General features: G+C 50.8%; 4 annotated features.

Moving 5' to 3' along the window:
- Positions 12235 to 12524: an enhancer, noted in NCBI's record as "active region_25930". NCBI's record gives its function as "activates an Ori minimal core promoter by ATAC-STARR-seq in GM12878 lymphoblastoid cells {active_cell/tissue: GM12878}" and the evidence as "EXISTENCE:reporter gene assay evidence [ECO:0000049][PMID:35858748]".
- Positions 12725 to 12804: an enhancer, noted in NCBI's record as "active region_25931". NCBI's record gives its function as "activates an Ori minimal core promoter by ATAC-STARR-seq in GM12878 lymphoblastoid cells {active_cell/tissue: GM12878}" and the evidence as "EXISTENCE:reporter gene assay evidence [ECO:0000049][PMID:35858748]".
- Positions 15893 to 16394: an enhancer, noted in NCBI's record as "H3K4me1 hESC enhancer chr7:44140397-44140898 (GRCh37/hg19 assembly coordinates)". NCBI's record gives its function as "activates a minimal SCP1, AML or CMV promoter by ChIP-STARR-seq in naive and primed H9 embryonic stem cells {active_cell/tissue: H9 hESC(naive and primed)}" and the evidence as "EXISTENCE:reporter gene assay evidence [ECO:0000049][PMID:30033119]".
- Positions 16395 to 16894: an enhancer, noted in NCBI's record as "H3K4me1 hESC enhancer chr7:44140899-44141398 (GRCh37/hg19 assembly coordinates)". NCBI's record gives its function as "activates a minimal SCP1, AML or CMV promoter by ChIP-STARR-seq in naive H9 embryonic stem cells {active_cell/tissue: H9 hESC(naive)}" and the evidence as "EXISTENCE:reporter gene assay evidence [ECO:0000049][PMID:30033119]".

Genomic DNA, 17406 nt, shown 5'->3' on the forward strand with positions numbered 1-17406 from the left:
CATTCATAAGACAAGGTTAGAATTGTGGTGGGGCCTGAACTTTGCTAAAGAATGGGCATAAACAGCGACCTGCCGTTTCTCACTTGGCTTGCTTTTCTATAATGCTTACTGCCCTGGAGTCACATAGCCGGAAATCTCAAGATTTCTAACTTCTCCAGCTGCTCATATAGAGGCCGGGCACAGTGGCTCACACCTGTAATTCCAGCACTTTCGGAGGCCAAGGCGGGTGGATCACTGGAGGTCAGGAGTTCGAGACCAGCCTGGCCAACATGGTGAAACTCTATCTCCCTAAAAATACAAAAAAATTAGCTGGGAGTGGTGACACATGCCTGTAATCCCAGCTACTCAGGAGGCTGAGGCAGGAGAATTGCTTGAAGCTGGGAGGTGGAGTTTGCAGTGAGCTGAGATCATGCCACTGCACTCCAGCCTGGGAGACAGAGCAAGACTCCGTCTCAAAAAAAAAAAAAAAAAATCACTATTATGAAACCTAAAGAACTTTGAGATATTTTCTAGATTTAGAATTTTAGCAGACCAAGAGACACTACCTGGACCTGTGACCCACACCAAGAAACTGACTCAGCTGCTTGAAGATAGTTTTGATACCTCTGTGATTTCATCCACTGCCAATCAGTTGTCTCAGCTCCCTAGTCCCCTGCTTGCTGAAGCACCCTTAAAAACACTAGCCTCTGAATTCTGGGGGAGGTGGTTTTGAGAATTATCTTTCATCCTCCTTGCTTGTCTGGCCCTGCAATTACAAAACTTTCTCTGCTGCAACAGTGCCCCCACTGGAGAACATGGTGAGGGGGTGTCCCTGCTGGAGGATGGTTGGGGAGGGGGTCCCTGCTTGAGGATGTGGGAGGTATACCTGCTGGAGGAGGGGTGAGGGAGGGTGTCCCACTGGAAGATGGGGGTGGGGCGCAGTGGGGAGCCATACTAGGGCCAAGAATATCCCCAGGACTGGAGGTAGCTTTTGCAGCTTAAACAAGAGGCATAGTCGCGAGGGCAGGTTAGGACTTGGGTGTGTCCAAGAGGCACTTGGAAGGAGTTGCCCTTCCCAGAGGGTGGCCCTTGAGCTATGGAAAAGATCCCACTGAAAGGAGATGGTTAGATTATCTCCTGCACATTGGAAATTGTCTTTGAGTTTCCATCTTCAATGGGCCTGGTTTCCCTGTACTTGTCTGTGGTGGTCACTGTGGGAAGGCAGTGAGGAGTGGGTCTGGGGAGGGAGAGGGACTGCCACAGGGGCAGCAGTGGCCACCCCCCACAGGTCCAGACCATCCCCTCTCCAGAGTACAGTGGAGCAGGGTACACCTAAGAGCTCCAAATAATACTTAGGCCCAGGCCCCTCCCCAAATAATCCAGTTTAATTGGTCTGGATATGGCTTGGGCATTGGCATTTTATTTATTATTATTAATTTTTTAGAGACAAGGTCTCACTCTGTCACCGAGGCTGGAGTGCAGTGGCACAATCACTCTTGGCTCTTGTGCTCAAGTGGTACTTCTACCTCAGATTCCTGAGTGGCTGGGACTACAGGCATGTGCCCCCACGCCTGGCTAATTTTTTTAAGTTATTTTTTGTAGAGATGGGGGCTCTCACTATGTTGTCCAGGCTAGTCTCAAACTCCTGGCCTCAAGCAGTCCTCCCACCTGAGTCTCCCAAAGCGCTGGGATTACTGGCATGAGCCACCAAACCCGGCCGACATTGGCATTTTTAAAGTTCCCCAGTGACTGATGTGTGGCCAAGGTTGAGATTCACTGCTCTAGAGGGAGGGGACCCTTCAGGGAGATGGAGACCCTGACAAGAAGCTTACGCGTGTAAAAGTGAGAGCTGAGAACCACCTGAATATCCAGTGACCAAGAGCTGGTGGAATAAATGTTGCTGTGTTCATACTGTGGAATATTATGCAGCCATTAAAAATGATTCTGTGAAGTTTTACTCTTAATCACCCAAAACTGTAAACACTCCAGATGTTCTTGACCCAGGGAACAGCTTCACACACTGGTGTGTGCATCCCATGGAATGCTAAGGAACATTGAGATGAAGGGAACCGGTAATGCAGCAGCTTGGGTGAGTCTTCAGTGCCTCATGCTAAGTGGCAGGAGACACATATGCTCTGATCCCATTTATATGACAACTCGGAAAAGGCAAAACTATAGGATAGAAAACAGACCAGTGATGGGCAAGGCTGGGAGCTGGGGTCGACTACAAAGAGTTTGAAGGCATTTGGGGGTGATGGAATGTCCTCTATCTTGACTGTGGTGGGAGTTACAGGTTACAAGACTGTGTTTGTCAAATTCATAGAATTATGAACTGAAAAGGGTGAATTTTACAGTATGGCAACTATACCGCACTCAGCCTGACTTTTAAAAACTGGTGCTGGCTGGGCGCAGTGGCTCACGCCTATAATCCCAGTACTTTGGGAGGCCGGGGTGGCAGATCAGGTGAGGTCATGAGTTCAAGACCAGCCTGGCCAACATGGAGAACCCGTATCTCTACTAAAAATACAAAAATTAGCCGGCCATGATGATGGGTGCCTGTAATCCCAGCTACTCGAGAGGCTGAGGCAGGAGATTGCTTGAACCCGGGAGGCGGAGCTTGCAATGAGCCGAGATCGCGCCATTGCACTCCAGCCTGGGTGACAGAGCGAGATTCCATCTCAAAACAACAACAACAACAACAACAGCAACAAAAAAATGGTGCTTTATGGCCATATTCAGTGGCATGAGAAGATTTGACACGGTTACCTGATGAAAGCAGACAGCTGTATGTATAATGTGAGGCTGTTTTTGTAAAAACACACATATATATGTCATACATGGAAAATAGAGGTGCAACAAAGCTAAGCAAATGGTTGCAGTGGTTAGTAGAATTGTGGGTGATTTGAACATTTTTCATTTTGTTTGTACTTTCTAAAATTTCTGCAGAGGGCATGGATTGCTTGGAAGCAGGCAGGGAGGGAAGGAACATAAGTTTTTGTTCTCATTTTGTGGACGAGGAGCCTCTGTCTGAGCGGCAGAGCCAAGACACACACCCGGCCTCCCCTCCTGGCTCTGAGTCCGGAGTTCTCTCTGGAGATGTCCACGGTGCCTGCTCAGCCTGCTCCATGGCCTCCCCTAGGAGCACAGGCCCAGGGAATGCTGTGAGAGAGGGGAGGGTGAAGGCAGGCCTGGGCAGCAGTGGGCAGGGCCCTGGCCTGGGTGGGTGGGTACCACAGGCTGCTGTCAGGAAGTAGAGACCTCAGCCCTCTGTTTTGGGTGAGCTGTTCCAATAAACTTGGCTTAGGGATTCCCAGAAGTCCAAGTCCTCAGCCTCCTGCTCCCTCCTCTGACACTGCCTCCCAGAAAGTCAGGAGGCTGCCCAGCCACCCTCGTGGCGGGACACCTTCCGGCCAGGCTGGGCCCTTTCCGCTGCCCTGAGGCTGCAACCTCCCTCCCTGCTCCCACCGAGCCATGACTATTCCTGCCCATCCCTTACTTATGTTTTCGATTATTTTTGCCCAGATTGAGTTTGCATTTTTCCAAGATGAATCTCATCTTGCTGTTTCCTGTTCCCACTTTCAGCTCTAGACGTCCCTCGGGGAGATACCTCAGTGCCCACGACCTTTGCACCCCCCTCCCCACCTCGCCCCCGCTGTGGCACACCTCTCTCCAAGCTCCCTTTGGTGCTGTTTCCACCCGTGTGCGTTCTGTCCAGAGGCCTGCGGGGACCAGGACGTGGCCCTGCTTGGGGGCCTGCCCCTGCTGCCCTGGTTTCCTCCCTCCCGTGGGCTGCTTGCCAGCAGCATTTGGGAGAGTGTGTGGCCAAACTGCTGATGCTGCTGGCCCTGAGCTCCTGAGGGCTGTTGGCCCCAGCAGTGCTGGCCCTGGGCCTTCTCTGATCTATTCCTGCACATTGCTGTGGCTAAGAGTAACCTGGTATATTTGTATCCCATGACCGCTATAACAAATTATCACAAACTAGGTGGGTAAAAACAACAGAAATTTATTCTCTCCCAGTTCTGGAAACTACAGCCAAAACTCCAGCTATCAGCAGGGCCACCCTTCCTTGAAGGCTCTAGGGGGGATCCCTCCTCGCCTCTTCAAGCTGCTGATGCTCCTGGTGCTCCTTGGCTTGTGGCAGCATCACTCCACCCTCTGCCCCGCCTGCAATGGCCTCCTTCCCTCTGGGCCTGCTCTGTGTCTGTCTTCTCCTTCTCTCTCTCTTTTTTTTTTTTTTTTTTTTTTTGAGATGGAGTCTCGCTGTGTCACCCAGGCTAGATTACAGTGGTGCCATCTCGGCTCACTGCAACCTCTGCCTCCCAGGCTCAAGTGATTCTCCTGCCTCAGCCCCAACCAGTAGCTGGGATTACAGTTGCCTGCCACCATGCCAGGCTAATTTTTGTATTTTTAGTAGAGACAGATTTTCACCACGTTGGCCAGGCTGGTCTCGAACTTCCGGGTTCAAGTGATCCACCCGCCTCAGCCTCCCAAAGTGCTGGGATTACAGGCATGAGTCACCATGCCTGGCTGTCTTCTCCTTTTCTTATAAAGACACTAAGACACTAGTCATTGGATTTAGGCTTTTTTTTTTTTCTTTTTTTGTCATCCAGGCTGGAGTGCAGTGGCACAATCATAGCTCACTGCAACCTCATACTCCTGTGCTCAAGTGATCTCCAGCCTCAGCCTCCTGAGTAACTAGGACTACAAGCGTGTGCCACCATGCCTGGCTAATTTTTGTATTTTTTGTGGAGATGATGTCTCACTATGTTGCCCAGGCTGGTCTCAAACTCCTGGCTTCAAGTGATTCTCCCACTTTGGCCTCCCAAAGTGCTGGGATTACAAGCATGAGCCACCTTGCCTGAAAGACCATCCCAACTCAGGATGATCTCATCTCAAGATTCTTATTTTTTTTTTCCTTTTCTTTCTTTTTTTTTTTTTTTTTTTTTGAGATGGAGTCTCACTCTGTCACCCAGGCTGGAGAGCAGCAGCATGATCTTGGCTCACTGCAACCTCTGCCTCCCATGTTCAGGCAATTCTCCTGCCTCAGCCTCCCAAGTAGCTGGGACTACAGGCACATGCCACCACGCCCGGCTAATTTTTGTATTTTTAGTAGAGATAGGGTTTCACCATATTGGTTAGGCTGGTCTTGAACTCCTGACCTCGTGATCCACCCACCTCAGCCTCCCAAAGTGCTGGGATTACAGGCATGAGCCACCGTGCCTGGCCAATATTCTTATCTTAATTACACCTGAAAAGACCCTTACACCAAATAAGGTCACATTCTGACATTCTGGGTGGAAATGAATTTGGGGGGCCACCCTTTAACCCGCTGGCCTGAGTCCCACTTTGCCAGGGATCAATTCTGGACTCTGTGACCTGGGGCAAGTGGCCAGCCTTTCTTTATTTGTGTAGATCCATCAGAGCTGTGGGATTCGTATTTTTGACAGTAGATGCACTAGTGGCTTGCCTGGGACCTGGCTGGTTATATAACAAAAAGAGACGCTTTATTTTTGAGAAACCATTACTGCCTTTTAAGGAGTGTGTGCATTGCCGCTTGCTGGATGGGTTCCATATAAGAACCGGTGGTGGCGGGGGTGGTGGGGAGAGGGTAGTTGGAAGCCTGGGACAGGACTCGGAGTGGGAAGACTGGGCCAGAGGTCCAGAGAAGAATTCCCAGCTCCCTGCCAGGGGATTTGGCTGCAGAATTCCTTATGGAGGAGCGAAGTGTCCTTAAAATGAAGGCTGTTTGGGTTCATCTGTTTAACCAGCCCAGGCTCAACCAGCAGTTCAGGTATGGCTGGCAATGGTGAAGGGTCCAGGGGGCTAAGAAGGCTTATGAGAAGAGGGATGTTTGCTGACCTCAACTCTACCACAAGGTGACAAAATTGTCCACTGTTTCCATCATGAATTATTTCATTTAAGTTAAGGGAAGACTATAATGTCATTACATTCCTGGATAAACAGACCCAATGTCATTTATTTAGTATTTTCCCATTTGCCACTGTCATTCTTGAAATAAAATAGATCCAAACATGGGGAGTTCCATTTATTAGCACCAAGGAGAAGCCCTGGGCTAGAAAGTTGCTGGAAGCCCCAAGGCTGTCATGGATGCTGTTTCTTGGGATGGAGAGTCCTGAGAGGCTGGACGTGCTGCCTGGTACATGGAAGGTCAAGGAGGAAGGAGGGTTGGAAGCCAGGAGTATGGCCATGGAGGGAGTCTCCAAAGTCCTAGTCAGGGGTGGAACCCAGACCGGAAGTTGGGGTAGAAGACAGGGATGGGAAGTGACAGCTGCTAACATTTATGGAGGGCGAGAAATAGGCCAAGGACTGTGCTAATTATTTTTTATGCTGTATTTTTGTTCTTTTTCCAATTATATGGAATTGGCACTACTGTCATTTTTTTCTATCTTACAGATAGGGAAACTGAGATTTTGAGCTAAAATAATGTTGCCAAAGTAGTCACACGCATAAGAGGCAGAAATGTGATTTCAACAGTGGATATTTGACCACAGAGCCATCCTCCTAACCATTCACCCAACAGAAGTGTGTTGAGGCGCGGTGGCTCACCCCTGTAATCCCAGCACTTTGGGAGGCCAAAGGGGGCTGATCACATGAGGCCAGGAGTTTGAGACCAGCCTGGCCAACATGGCAAAACCCCATCTCTACTAAAAATACAAAAATTAGCCAGGTGTAGTGGTACATATCTGTAATCCCAGCTACTCGGGAGGCTCAGGCACGAGAATTGCTTGAGCCCGGGAGGCGGAGTTGCAGTGAGCCGAGTTCACACCACTGCACTCCAGCCTGGGCGACAGAGTGGGACTTTGTCTCAAGAACAAACAAACAAACAAAAAGGTGTGTTGTGTGCCTGGCTTTCTTCTAAGTGCAGGAGGTATAGCAGATAAGACATACAGAAACCCCTGCCTCATGACATTCCTGTGGGGCAGGACAGACAATTCCCTAGGGAGGACATGGCCTATGCTGGGTATGGTTGGTTATAGCAAACATGGCTGCAGGAGTCCCTTCCATCTGTGACCCTTCCGCAGAGTGACTTTGATGCTTCCCCCAGCAAGAGATGGGGTTAGGCCTCCCCTTGATTCTGGGCTGGCTCTGGGACTTGCTTTGGCCAACAGAATATAGCAGAAATGACATCTTGGCACTTGTGGGCTTAACCTTGCAAGGGCTTGCAGCTTCCACTTTTGCCTCTTGGAAGCTACTGCCATGTGAAAAAGCTGGTCTGGTCTGTGGGTGCTGAGAGGCCACGTGGACAGAGGACCGAGGTGCCCAGGTGACAGCCAGCACTGAGTCCAGCTCCCTGCTGACCATCATTGCATGGGAGACCCCAGCTGACACCGTGTGGAGCAGCCAATTCACAGAATCGTGAGGAATGCTCTCTCACTGCTGTTTGAAGCCATTCCATTTTGGGGAGGTTTGTTACACAGCCATGGATCACTGAAACAGTGGTGAGAACGGCCAAGTGCATGGGTAGATCCAAAGTCAGGCAAGGGGAGGGAGTGCCCAGGGCTCACCAAGAAGATGACATTTGAGCAGTGACTTCATGGAGGAAGGAAAGAACATCCTCAGTGACCAAGGCTGGGCCTGGCAGGTTTAAGGAAGAACAAGGAGCCTGAGCAGCTGAAAAGTGGGGCCAGATCTTGGGGTGCCCCACAAGCCACTGAAAGGACTGTGATGGGGAGGCTCTGAGCAGAGGCAGGTGTTATTCCACTCAGTTTTTGTTTTTGATTTTTGAGACAGGGTCTGGCTTTTTCACCCAGGTTGGAGTGCAGTGGTGCAATCTCAGCTCACTGCAGCCTCGAACTCCTGGGCTCAAGTGATCTTCCCACCTCAGTCTCTCATACAGCTAGGACTACAGGCATGTGCCACCACACCCAGCTAATTTTTGTATTTTTTGTAGAGACGGGGTTTCACCATGGTGCCCAGGCTCAAGCAATCTGCCTATCTTGGCCTCCCAAAGTGCTGGGATTACAGGCATGAGCCCAGCCCCCAATCAGCTTTAACAGTAGGGGCCAGGGCCAGGGCAGGGAAGCCCCTCTAAGAGGCTACTGCACTGACTCAGGTGAGTGTGGACGGTGATGAGACCAGGTAAGGAATGCTGGCTTCTGACTGTGAGAGAGAAAGAGGCGAGGATTGACTCTGGCAGGGGAAAGGCTGGAGTTACCACATTCTGAGATGGGGCCACCTTTGTGGAGGCTTAGGAGTGTGGCTCTAAACAGGTGACCCCGAGACCTCTCTAGAAATCAAGGGAAGACGTTGAGGATCCGACCTGGTTTGCATGTTTGTCCCCTTCAGGTCTCATGTTGAAATGTGATCCCCAGTGTTGGAAGTGGGGCCTGGTGAGAGGTGTGTGGGTCATGGGGGTGGATCCTCATGAAGTGCCCTCCCCATTGGGGTAATGAGCTCTCACTCTAAACAGATCTGTTTGTTTAAGAGCCTGGAACTTCCTCCTCTCTCTCTTGCTTCCTGTCTAGCCATGTAATGTGCCTGCTCCCCCTTTGCCTTCTGCCACGAGTGGAAGCTTCCTGAGGCCTCATCAGAAGCAGATACTGGCTCCTTGCTTCCTGTACAGCCTGTGGAACCATGAGCCAAATAAACCTCTTTTCTTTATAAATTACCCAGCCTCAGATATTCCCTTATTGGAGTGCAAAACAGACTAACACAGGATCCAATTTGACAGAAGAGGCCAGCGCCACGGGAGTGGTGTGGACTGCAGCTATAAACAGGGGATTGTCAGGGGCAAGGAGGTCACCAAAGGAGGGGTGCCCTGCAGAGGATGTGCAAGAACTGAGCCCAGGGCCTCCCAGAAATTTAGAGGATGGAGACTGAGAGGGGCGGGGGGAAACCTGGGTCAGGTTGGAGTCTTACAGACCAAGTGGAAAGGCTTCTAAAGAGGAAGGTGTAAGCAACTGTATCAGATGTTTGATGGGTCACCTAAGACAAGGACTGAGAAGTGACTGGTCCCTGGAGGCTTGACCAGACAGTTCTGCTGTTAGATGGGGGCTGGAAGGAGCCTCCTGCCCTTGAGGTGTCCTTAGGAGCATGGCACTCCTTCTAACCTCTTTTTCTCTTTTTTTCTTGAGACGGAGTTTCGCTCTTGTTGCCCACCCAGGCTGGAGCGCAATGGCGTGATCTCGGCTCATCGCAACCTCCGCCTCCCGGGTTCAAGCAATTCTCCTGCCTCAGCCTCCCAAGTAGCTGGGGTTACAGGCATGTGCTGCCACGCCCGGCTAATTTTATATTTTTAGTAGAGATGGGGTTTCTCCATGTTGGTCAGCCTGGTCTCGAACTCCCGACCTCAGGTGATCCGCCCACCTCAGCTTCCCAAAGTGCTGGGATTACAGGCGTGAGCCACCGCGCCCAGCCAATCTTCTAGCTTCTTGAATGTGCTGCTTGGCTTCTGTCATCTGTTATTCAAGTCACCTCACCAACCCAAACCCCAATTTCCTTATTTGTAAAATAAAAATAATGAGGCTCCTGCAAAGGGTGGATGTGCAAACTCAGAGTGAACTGACAGATGCCAAATTGGACCCTCTGTACCACCTGGGCATCTTTTGGTTACTAATGGTGGCTCTGCAGTCAGATCTGGATGACTGGCCAGGTGCCTGAGTATGCAGGTGACCTCCAGGACCAGATGCTCCAGCCCCAACCCCGATCTCCCTTCCTGGTGCTCTGGAAGACCTGGGAAAAGGGAAGAAGGAACCCCACATGATTGTGGTGGAACGGGGTGCTCAAAATGGAAATGAAACCACTCAAGGAAAAAGTAAGTTGCATTTCTGGCATTCTGAGTTCTTGGACTGAGTTCACACACACACACAAAATATAATCATTTCATTTAAGTTTAAAATATTTAGCACAGAATGCAATCAGCAAAATCCAGACCACGGGAAACTCCAAAGGACAAACAGTCTAGTTTCAATAAATAAGTTGCCAGAACGAGAGAGAGAGAGAGAGAGAGAGAGAGAGATTGAGACAGAGCCTGTAGGCTAAAACAGATTTAAGAGATGGATCAATCACAGCACCTGGGCCTTTCTTGGATCCTAATTCAAACAAACAAACAAACTGTAAAAAATAAAATGTGTGAAGCAATAAAGGAAATGTGCACTCTGGATATTGGATATTAAGGAATTATGGTTGAGATTTGCACAAGTGATAGTAGGTTAAGAGAGAAGAGAGAGGGAGAGAGGGAAGGGGAGGCGGGTAGGGACAGAGGCCTCTTTTGAGAAATGCACAACAAAGTATTTCCTGGTGAAATCATATGATGTCTGGGATTTGCTTCAAACTTATCTTGGAGAGGAGGCAAGGGTGGAACACAGATAACACAAGATGGGCTGAGAGTTGAACTGCAGGAGTGGGTGACAGGGCAAGCAGCTCAGGATGTCATCTTTTTGCTTTTGCATATTTGAAATTTTCCATAATAAAGTGTTTTTTAAGCAAATGCATGAGGCCAAGACTTGCTCCGTGCTCTCTGCCAGACTATTCTAAGCACTTGACACATGTCAACTCTTTGATGCCCAGGACTCTCATGTCAGGGGATGACACTGATGTCCCCATCTTGCTGAGGAGGAGATGGAGACACAGAAGGGGCAAGCAACTTGCCCAAGGTTGCACAGCTGGTGAACAGCAGTGTTGGGGTGTGAACCCAGGCTGCTTCCATCAGGCTTCTCCAGGTCTATGTGCCTCCAAAACAATGTCTGGAAGGTTATGTAACAAACTGTGATTGTTCTCTCTGGGAGGTGGGACAGTGGAGTTTAATGGAACTTATCATAATGGTTTTTGTTATTTTGCCTGTGTTTTCTTATTTTTCTACAAAGAATTTTTAAAAAGGAAGAGGAGTCAACAGACCCACAGTCAGTGGCCATGAGCAGCATGGGCCACAGAGGGGCTTCTGCTAGGTGGGAATTCTGAGCCCAAGGTCCCACCAGCTTGGAGGGGTGCAGCTCAGTGTGGCCATCAGTGGAGGCAGGCAGAAGTGAGGCTTGAATCCCACAGTGGGGAAAATGCTTTGCTCCTGGCAGAGCCTACTCTGGCAGGTCACAGCCAGGATTCAGACCCTGCAGGGAAGTCAGCAGCATGACCAGGCGTCCAGCCCAGTGCTGGGCACCTGCAGCCACGCAGGCGCACAGGGTATATGTGCCTGTGACCCTGCAGGTCCCAATAGCACAAACTCATTTGAGGATGGGGAGTGATAAGGGTAGGGCACAGTGGCCCCTCAAGGGGTGGGGATAGGAAAAAGTGGGGGGCACTGCCTCACCTCTGATTCTTCCATCAAACTTGGATGGGCTGGGGTCACAACCCCACCCCCATCAGAGTTTCGGGGAATGTGTGACAAACTGTTGCAGGCAGGCCCCAAACAGGTCCACCTCGCCTCACTCCTGTGACTGCTCTTCTTTGGGCCTCTCTTGGATCCCCACCCACCCATTCCCAACCAGACGCCTCACTGGCTTCTTCCTCAGCTCCGGGGTCCAGGTCTTGTGGGCTCTGCCCCAGCATCGGCCCCAGTTGGTCCCACCCTCTTCTCAGCGCAGGCCACTCCACTCCTCCCTCTGCCCACAAGTTGGAACCCAAGCTCAAGGTGGCCTCTAAGGCCCTGCTCACCTTCCCAGGCCTCACACGTGCCCGGCCCCAGCCCCCACAGTGTGCCCCTCCTTGTGCAGTCTGTGCCTGCCCTCCAGGGATGCACCTGCTCCCTGCACACATCTCTGAATGTTTGCTGCTTGAGCAAGGCATCCTCATGGTCAATGCATGCACTGGATGCTTGTTGACCTTAGGAAGTGCTTCTACCAGGAGATGGCCCTCTTCCCTGTCCCCAGGCCACGGCCATATCCTCCCAGGAGGGCTGAGGGCCTATCTTGGATGCACAGGGAACGGTGATCTCCCAGAATGCAAGTTCTTTTTAGGTCCTAGATAGTGAGCTCCAACCTTATGGACACAGTAACTGAGTCTGACTTCCTCACCCTTTGGGAAGGTGTTTTCCTGTAGGACTATGAGTGGGTGATTTTAAAGAAGGGGCAGGGGGGCAGGCCTGCTGTGGGCGAGGGTCAGCCATGTTACGGAGTGAGAAGGAACGAGCATTGCTAAGGCCCAGAAGTGAGGTGTAAGAGCCTCGGGGTTCCAGGCTCACCCCAGGGCTGGAGGGAGGAGGGGAAGGTGGAGAGGGTGCAGGGTCTTAGGGGCCACACAGAGGGTGGGATTTCCTCCTTGAGGAACACAGGGAGCCCTCCAGGCCCTCAGGGGTGGCCTGTGGGTGGTGAACTGGAGGTGTGAAGAGAAACGAAACCCCCAGGTGTGTGGGAGGCCTGCGGATGCTTGTGGCGACAGGGCAGCTACACACGGTCCAGGCTAGAGGTGGAGATGTCGGAATCATTGGCAGGTGGGGATCTCTGCAGCAGGGGTTCATCCAGCTCCCAGGGAGAGAAGGAAGAGTGAGAAGAGAGAGGTGCCACCCCTGGGATCCCCACCAGGGAAGCGGGGGAGGAGGAAGAGAAGCCAGCCTGGAAGTGTGAGCAACCCTAACCCTAATTCTAACCCTAACCCTAACCTTGGCAGGGGGAGGAGGTCACAAAGGGAGCTGCAGTGGCTGGCAAGGCCCGTTGGTCTTGGGTGATCCCTGGGGCCCTAGTCAGAGTGCCAGGTGCAGAAACAGCTGCCTGGGACTGAGGAAGTGGAAACTTTGAATGTGAACATCTCCTTTGAGAAGCTTGGCAGTTAAAGATGAGGTCAGAGATAGACACTGGGCAGGTACACATTTTTATAGCACAAAAAACTCTGGGTCCACAGTGGCCTTGGGAGCATTCTGGTACTCCCTCTAATGGCAGGAGCTGGGGTGCTGGGTGTGGGTGCCTGCTGGGAGCCCCTTCCTCTCAAGCAGCTGGCTGCCCACCTCTCCTTTTCCTTGGCTGGGCTTCTGATGGGGCCCACAGACAAACAGGCAATAACGTGAATACCTCACACAGAAACTGGCCACGATACTGCTGATGCCATGATCCATGATTGGTTTTTTATTCTTGTATTTTCCTGCTTTCCAGCTTTTACATCTCTCTTTACCAGACACTGATTGTTTTTTTACACCTTCCTATACTTTAGTACTATTACCAGACATAAAAACAAGTGATTCTCCTGCCTTACTCAGCCTCCCCAGTAGCTGGGATTACAGGCGTCTGCCACCATGCCTGGCGAATTTTTATATTTTTAGTGGAGACAGGGTTTCACCATGTTGGCCAGGCTGGTCTCAAAATCCTAACCTCAAGTGATCTGCCTGCCTTGGCCTCCCAAAATGCTGGGATTACAGGCATGAGCAACCATGCCCAGCCCTAGAAAGTGTTTTTAAAGGAATAGATTGTGTTCTACTATTCCCTTTCCTCCTTTCTGCTGGCCAGGATGATGCAATGATGGCTGGATCTCAAGTGAATATTTTGTATCACAAGATAGAAGTCATACATTGAGGCTAGGTAAGCAACAAAATGGAAAGCCAGATGCTTACCTTTGGATTTTGTTTATATGAGCAAGAAATACATTTCCTTTAAAATATTATTATTTTTAGAGACAGGGTCTTGCTCTGTTGTCTACAATAGAGACAGGATCTTGCTCTGTTGTCTAGGATGGAGTGGAGTGTTGCAATCATAGCTCACTGCAGCCTTGAACTCTTGGGCTCGGGTGATCCTCCTGCCTCAGCCTTCTGAGTAGCTAGGACTACAAGCGTGTGCCACCATGCCCAGCTAACTTTTAATTTTTTTGTAGTGACAGAGTCTCACTATGTTGCCCAGGCTGGTCTCAAACTCCTGGGCTCAAGCAATTCTCCCATCTTGGCCTCCCAAAGCGCTGGGATTACAGACATGAGCCACTACACCTGGCAAGAAATAAATTTCTATCTTATTTTAGTCATTGTTCCGTTGGTTTTTCTACGAATGCATGGTGGGATGCCTTACTGGGGCTCAGCTGCTTTGATGGGCTTCTCTTCTTTGCAGCCATGTGACCTTGAATGAGATGCCTGAATGGTGTGGAGCTCCTTGCCACTAGTTGCTTTCAGAGGGTGATCTCCCAGTAACACCTACACTGGAAGGTTTTTAATCTTTGAGAAACGGATATAGAAAAAGTTGTACTCAGTATATTTTATTTACATTTTTATAACTTTTAATGAAGCTAAACATTTTTGTATCTATTTATTGGCCACTTATGTATCTTCTTTTGTGAATCACCTATTTATTTCTCTCAGCTCACTTTTAAAAGTGGAAACAAAGTAAAATTATTAATAGCTTTATTATTTATTTATTTATTTTGAGACAGAGTCTTGCTTTGTTGCCCAGGCTGGAGTGCAATGGCATGATTTCGGCTCACTGCAACCTCTGCCTCCCAGGTTCAAGTGATTCTCCTGCCTCAGCCTCCCGAGTAGCTGGGATTACAGGCATGTGCCACCACACATGGCTAATTTTTGTATTTTTCGTAGAGGCGGGGTTTCACCATGTTGGCCAGGCTGGTCTTGAACTCCTGACCCCAGGTGATCCACCTGCCTCAGCTTCCCAAAGTGCTGGGATTATAGGCATGAGCCACTGTGGCTGGCCTATTAATAGCTTTAAAAATGTAAAAAACTAGCCGGGCATGGTGGTGCGCACCTGTAGTCCCAGCTACTGAGGATGCTGAAGTAGGAGGATTGCTTGAACACAGGAGGCGGAGGTTGCAGTGAGCCAAGATTGCATCACTGCACTCCAGCCTAGGCGCCAGAGTGAGATTCCATCTCAAAAAAAAAAAAAAGAAAAAGCTTTATTTATTAATAGCAGCTTCCCTTTATCAACGACTTACTATTTTTCAGGCATGACTCTCCAGATTTATCTCAGTGAACCCTTGTAGCATTTTTGCAAGGCATGGTAGTGTCATTATTATCCTATTGTTATAGAGGAGAGAAACCGACGCTCACAGACAGAAAGTGCAATAAATATGGAGTAGAGGTTCACAGCAGATGGGTCTGAGGCCACAGCTGCTTCCTAAAACTACAGGAGGCCAGGAATGTTCGCTCTCTAAGCACTGCATTCTTTCTCAGTATTTTGTTTGCTCTTTATTTTCATTTTCAGTATATTTTGATGTACAGAAGGTAAAAACTTTTATGCAACCAAACTTCTCTGTCCTTCCTTAAGAGACTTCTCCATCAAGAATGTCAATATAGGCTGGGCACACATGCCGGGCGCCCAGCACTTTGGGAGGCTGAGGCGGGTGGATCACTTGAGGTCAGGAGTTTGAGATCTGCCTGGTCAACATGGTGAAACCCCATCTCTACTAAAAATACAAAAAAAAAAAAAAAAAAAAAAAAGCCGGGCATGGTGGCATGTGCCTGTAATCCCCAGATACTTGGGAGGCTGAGGCAGGAGAATCTCTTGAACCTGGGAGGCGGAGGTTGCAGTTAGCCGGGATCGCACCACTGCACTCCAGCCTGGGTGACAGAGTGAGACTCCATATCAAAAACAAAAACAAACAAAACCTAAAGAAAACCTCACAATGTAAATAAAGACTCCATATTTTCTTGTAGTCCTTCCCTGGTTCCTCTTCTAACATCTACCTCATTAATCTGGAGTTAATTTTGAGGGAGGTATGAGGTGGGGCCAAACATTATTTTTTCCACCAGACTCCATTTTGAACGACCTCTCCTTCCTTCTGACCTAACACTGGGCAGATTGTTGCACTAAGTTGTCACATGCCCTCTTCCCAGATCTTCGGGCAGCAGAATTACTCATCAGTGCTGGAAGCCTGCCCCCCTCCCCACTCCCCGCGCCTTGCTGTGGTGACCCCCACCCCAACCGAGTCCCCACAGCTGGGCTTGCTGTCTGCCCTGTGGTGAGTGGAAGGAATTCAGCATGAACTCTGCTCACTCAGCAGCCAGGCCTGAGAAGCACCGGACTGTGGAAAATCACATATGTTTTTCAAGTTGTTGAAAACCAAGGAAATTGTTCTGCCAGTTGTGAGGGTGGCTAGACACTGTCTGGGAGACCTCAGGTCCCATGGCTCTGGGAGCCATCCCATCTTGTGGGCCCAAACAGGCTAACCCCACTGGTAATATCCAGGCACTTGGGCGGCAGAGAAGGGGGAGTTTCTAGGAGCCTCCCCCAAGAGGGAAGAACAAAAAGGAAGGAGCCTAGCCTGGTCCTTTCCCCTTTGGTCCCAGGAGGCAGATCCAGGACTCAAGGGGAGATATGGAGGGGCTGGCATCTGTGATCCCAGTAGCCTGCTGGCCAGATCCCAGGCCTCCCAGACCTTCTATTTATCCCCCTCCCCCAGATACACATGCTGGTGCTGGACAGCTGGGCTGTGGCGGAAGTTTACATACAAAGGGTTTGCTGGGCCATCTCGGTACACACAGCTTCACTTCCTTCTGAGGCACAACCCGTGTCTGAGCTGCTGCCATGGGGGTCCTGGGGGCCACAGAGGCCATGGGGCAGGTTGGGAGGGTCTGCTCCCAGCCTCCCAGACCCTGCCACTCCTGCCTGTCCCCAGGCCCTGATGACCTCTTATCCTTCTGTGCCCTGCAGATCCCCACAGTCAGAACTCAGGCACACTGGGCCTGCTGGCAGGTGAGTTTCCACCTCTGACCAGGTTGAGGCACCAGGCAGCTCTGGAGGCTCAGGAGCTATAGCTTGGGTCCCAGTGGGAGGAGGCTGGCCTGTCCCCCTCCTCAGCTGGCACTAACAGGCCCCTGACCCAACCTCAACTTCTCTCTTGGGGTCTCAGCCCTCATGGCAGGGTTGATGGCCTCAGAGCTACATAGGACCTACTCACTGGGCCATGCTCCCTGTCTCCCTGTTCCCTGCAGGTCAGTTTCGCCAGCTTCCACCCTTGGACAGTTCTGGCTCTCTCAACAACTCTCCTTCCCATTCCAGCAGCAGCAAGGGACAGGGGGCACCCTCCCCAGCGCAGGCCCCACCCTCCCCAGCCCAGTCCTGCCGCAGTGGCTGTCCCTTGGGGTAGGGAAATGCCAAAGCAGTCCCTGCCACATCCATGTGGGAAGCTGAAAGTGGATCACCAGAGTGTCTACCAGCCCCCCACTGTAGCCCAGGAGAACACTTGGATGCAGGTGCAGACCCTGCTAAGTGGCAGGGGTAAGGGACCCTGAAAGCCACTAGGTGCTCTTGGCTACAAGCCTCCCATCCCCCTGACTGGCTTCACTCTGGCAGCAGAGGGGAGAAGTCCCCTCACCGGCCCCGTGGCAGAGCCTGGGCACAGGGCTAAAGGACTTTTTGGTGCAGGTCTTCAAGTGGAGTGGGAGTCCCAGCCCCACCACCCAAAGGGAGGCACATCAGCCTGGCATGGAGGGCAGCTGCCTCCCATCCACCTGCCCACACCCTTGGTGTCAGAGGGCCCCCAACATCATGGCCCTCCTTGTGGCCCAGCTCTCCATGAGAGCTTTTGCACATGTTTTTGTTGGTGACT

This window comes from Homo sapiens, chromosome 7, assembly GCF_000001405.40.
Source record: "Homo sapiens chromosome 7, GRCh38.p14 Primary Assembly".
Lineage (NCBI taxonomy): Eukaryota > Metazoa > Chordata > Mammalia > Primates > Hominidae > Homo > Homo sapiens.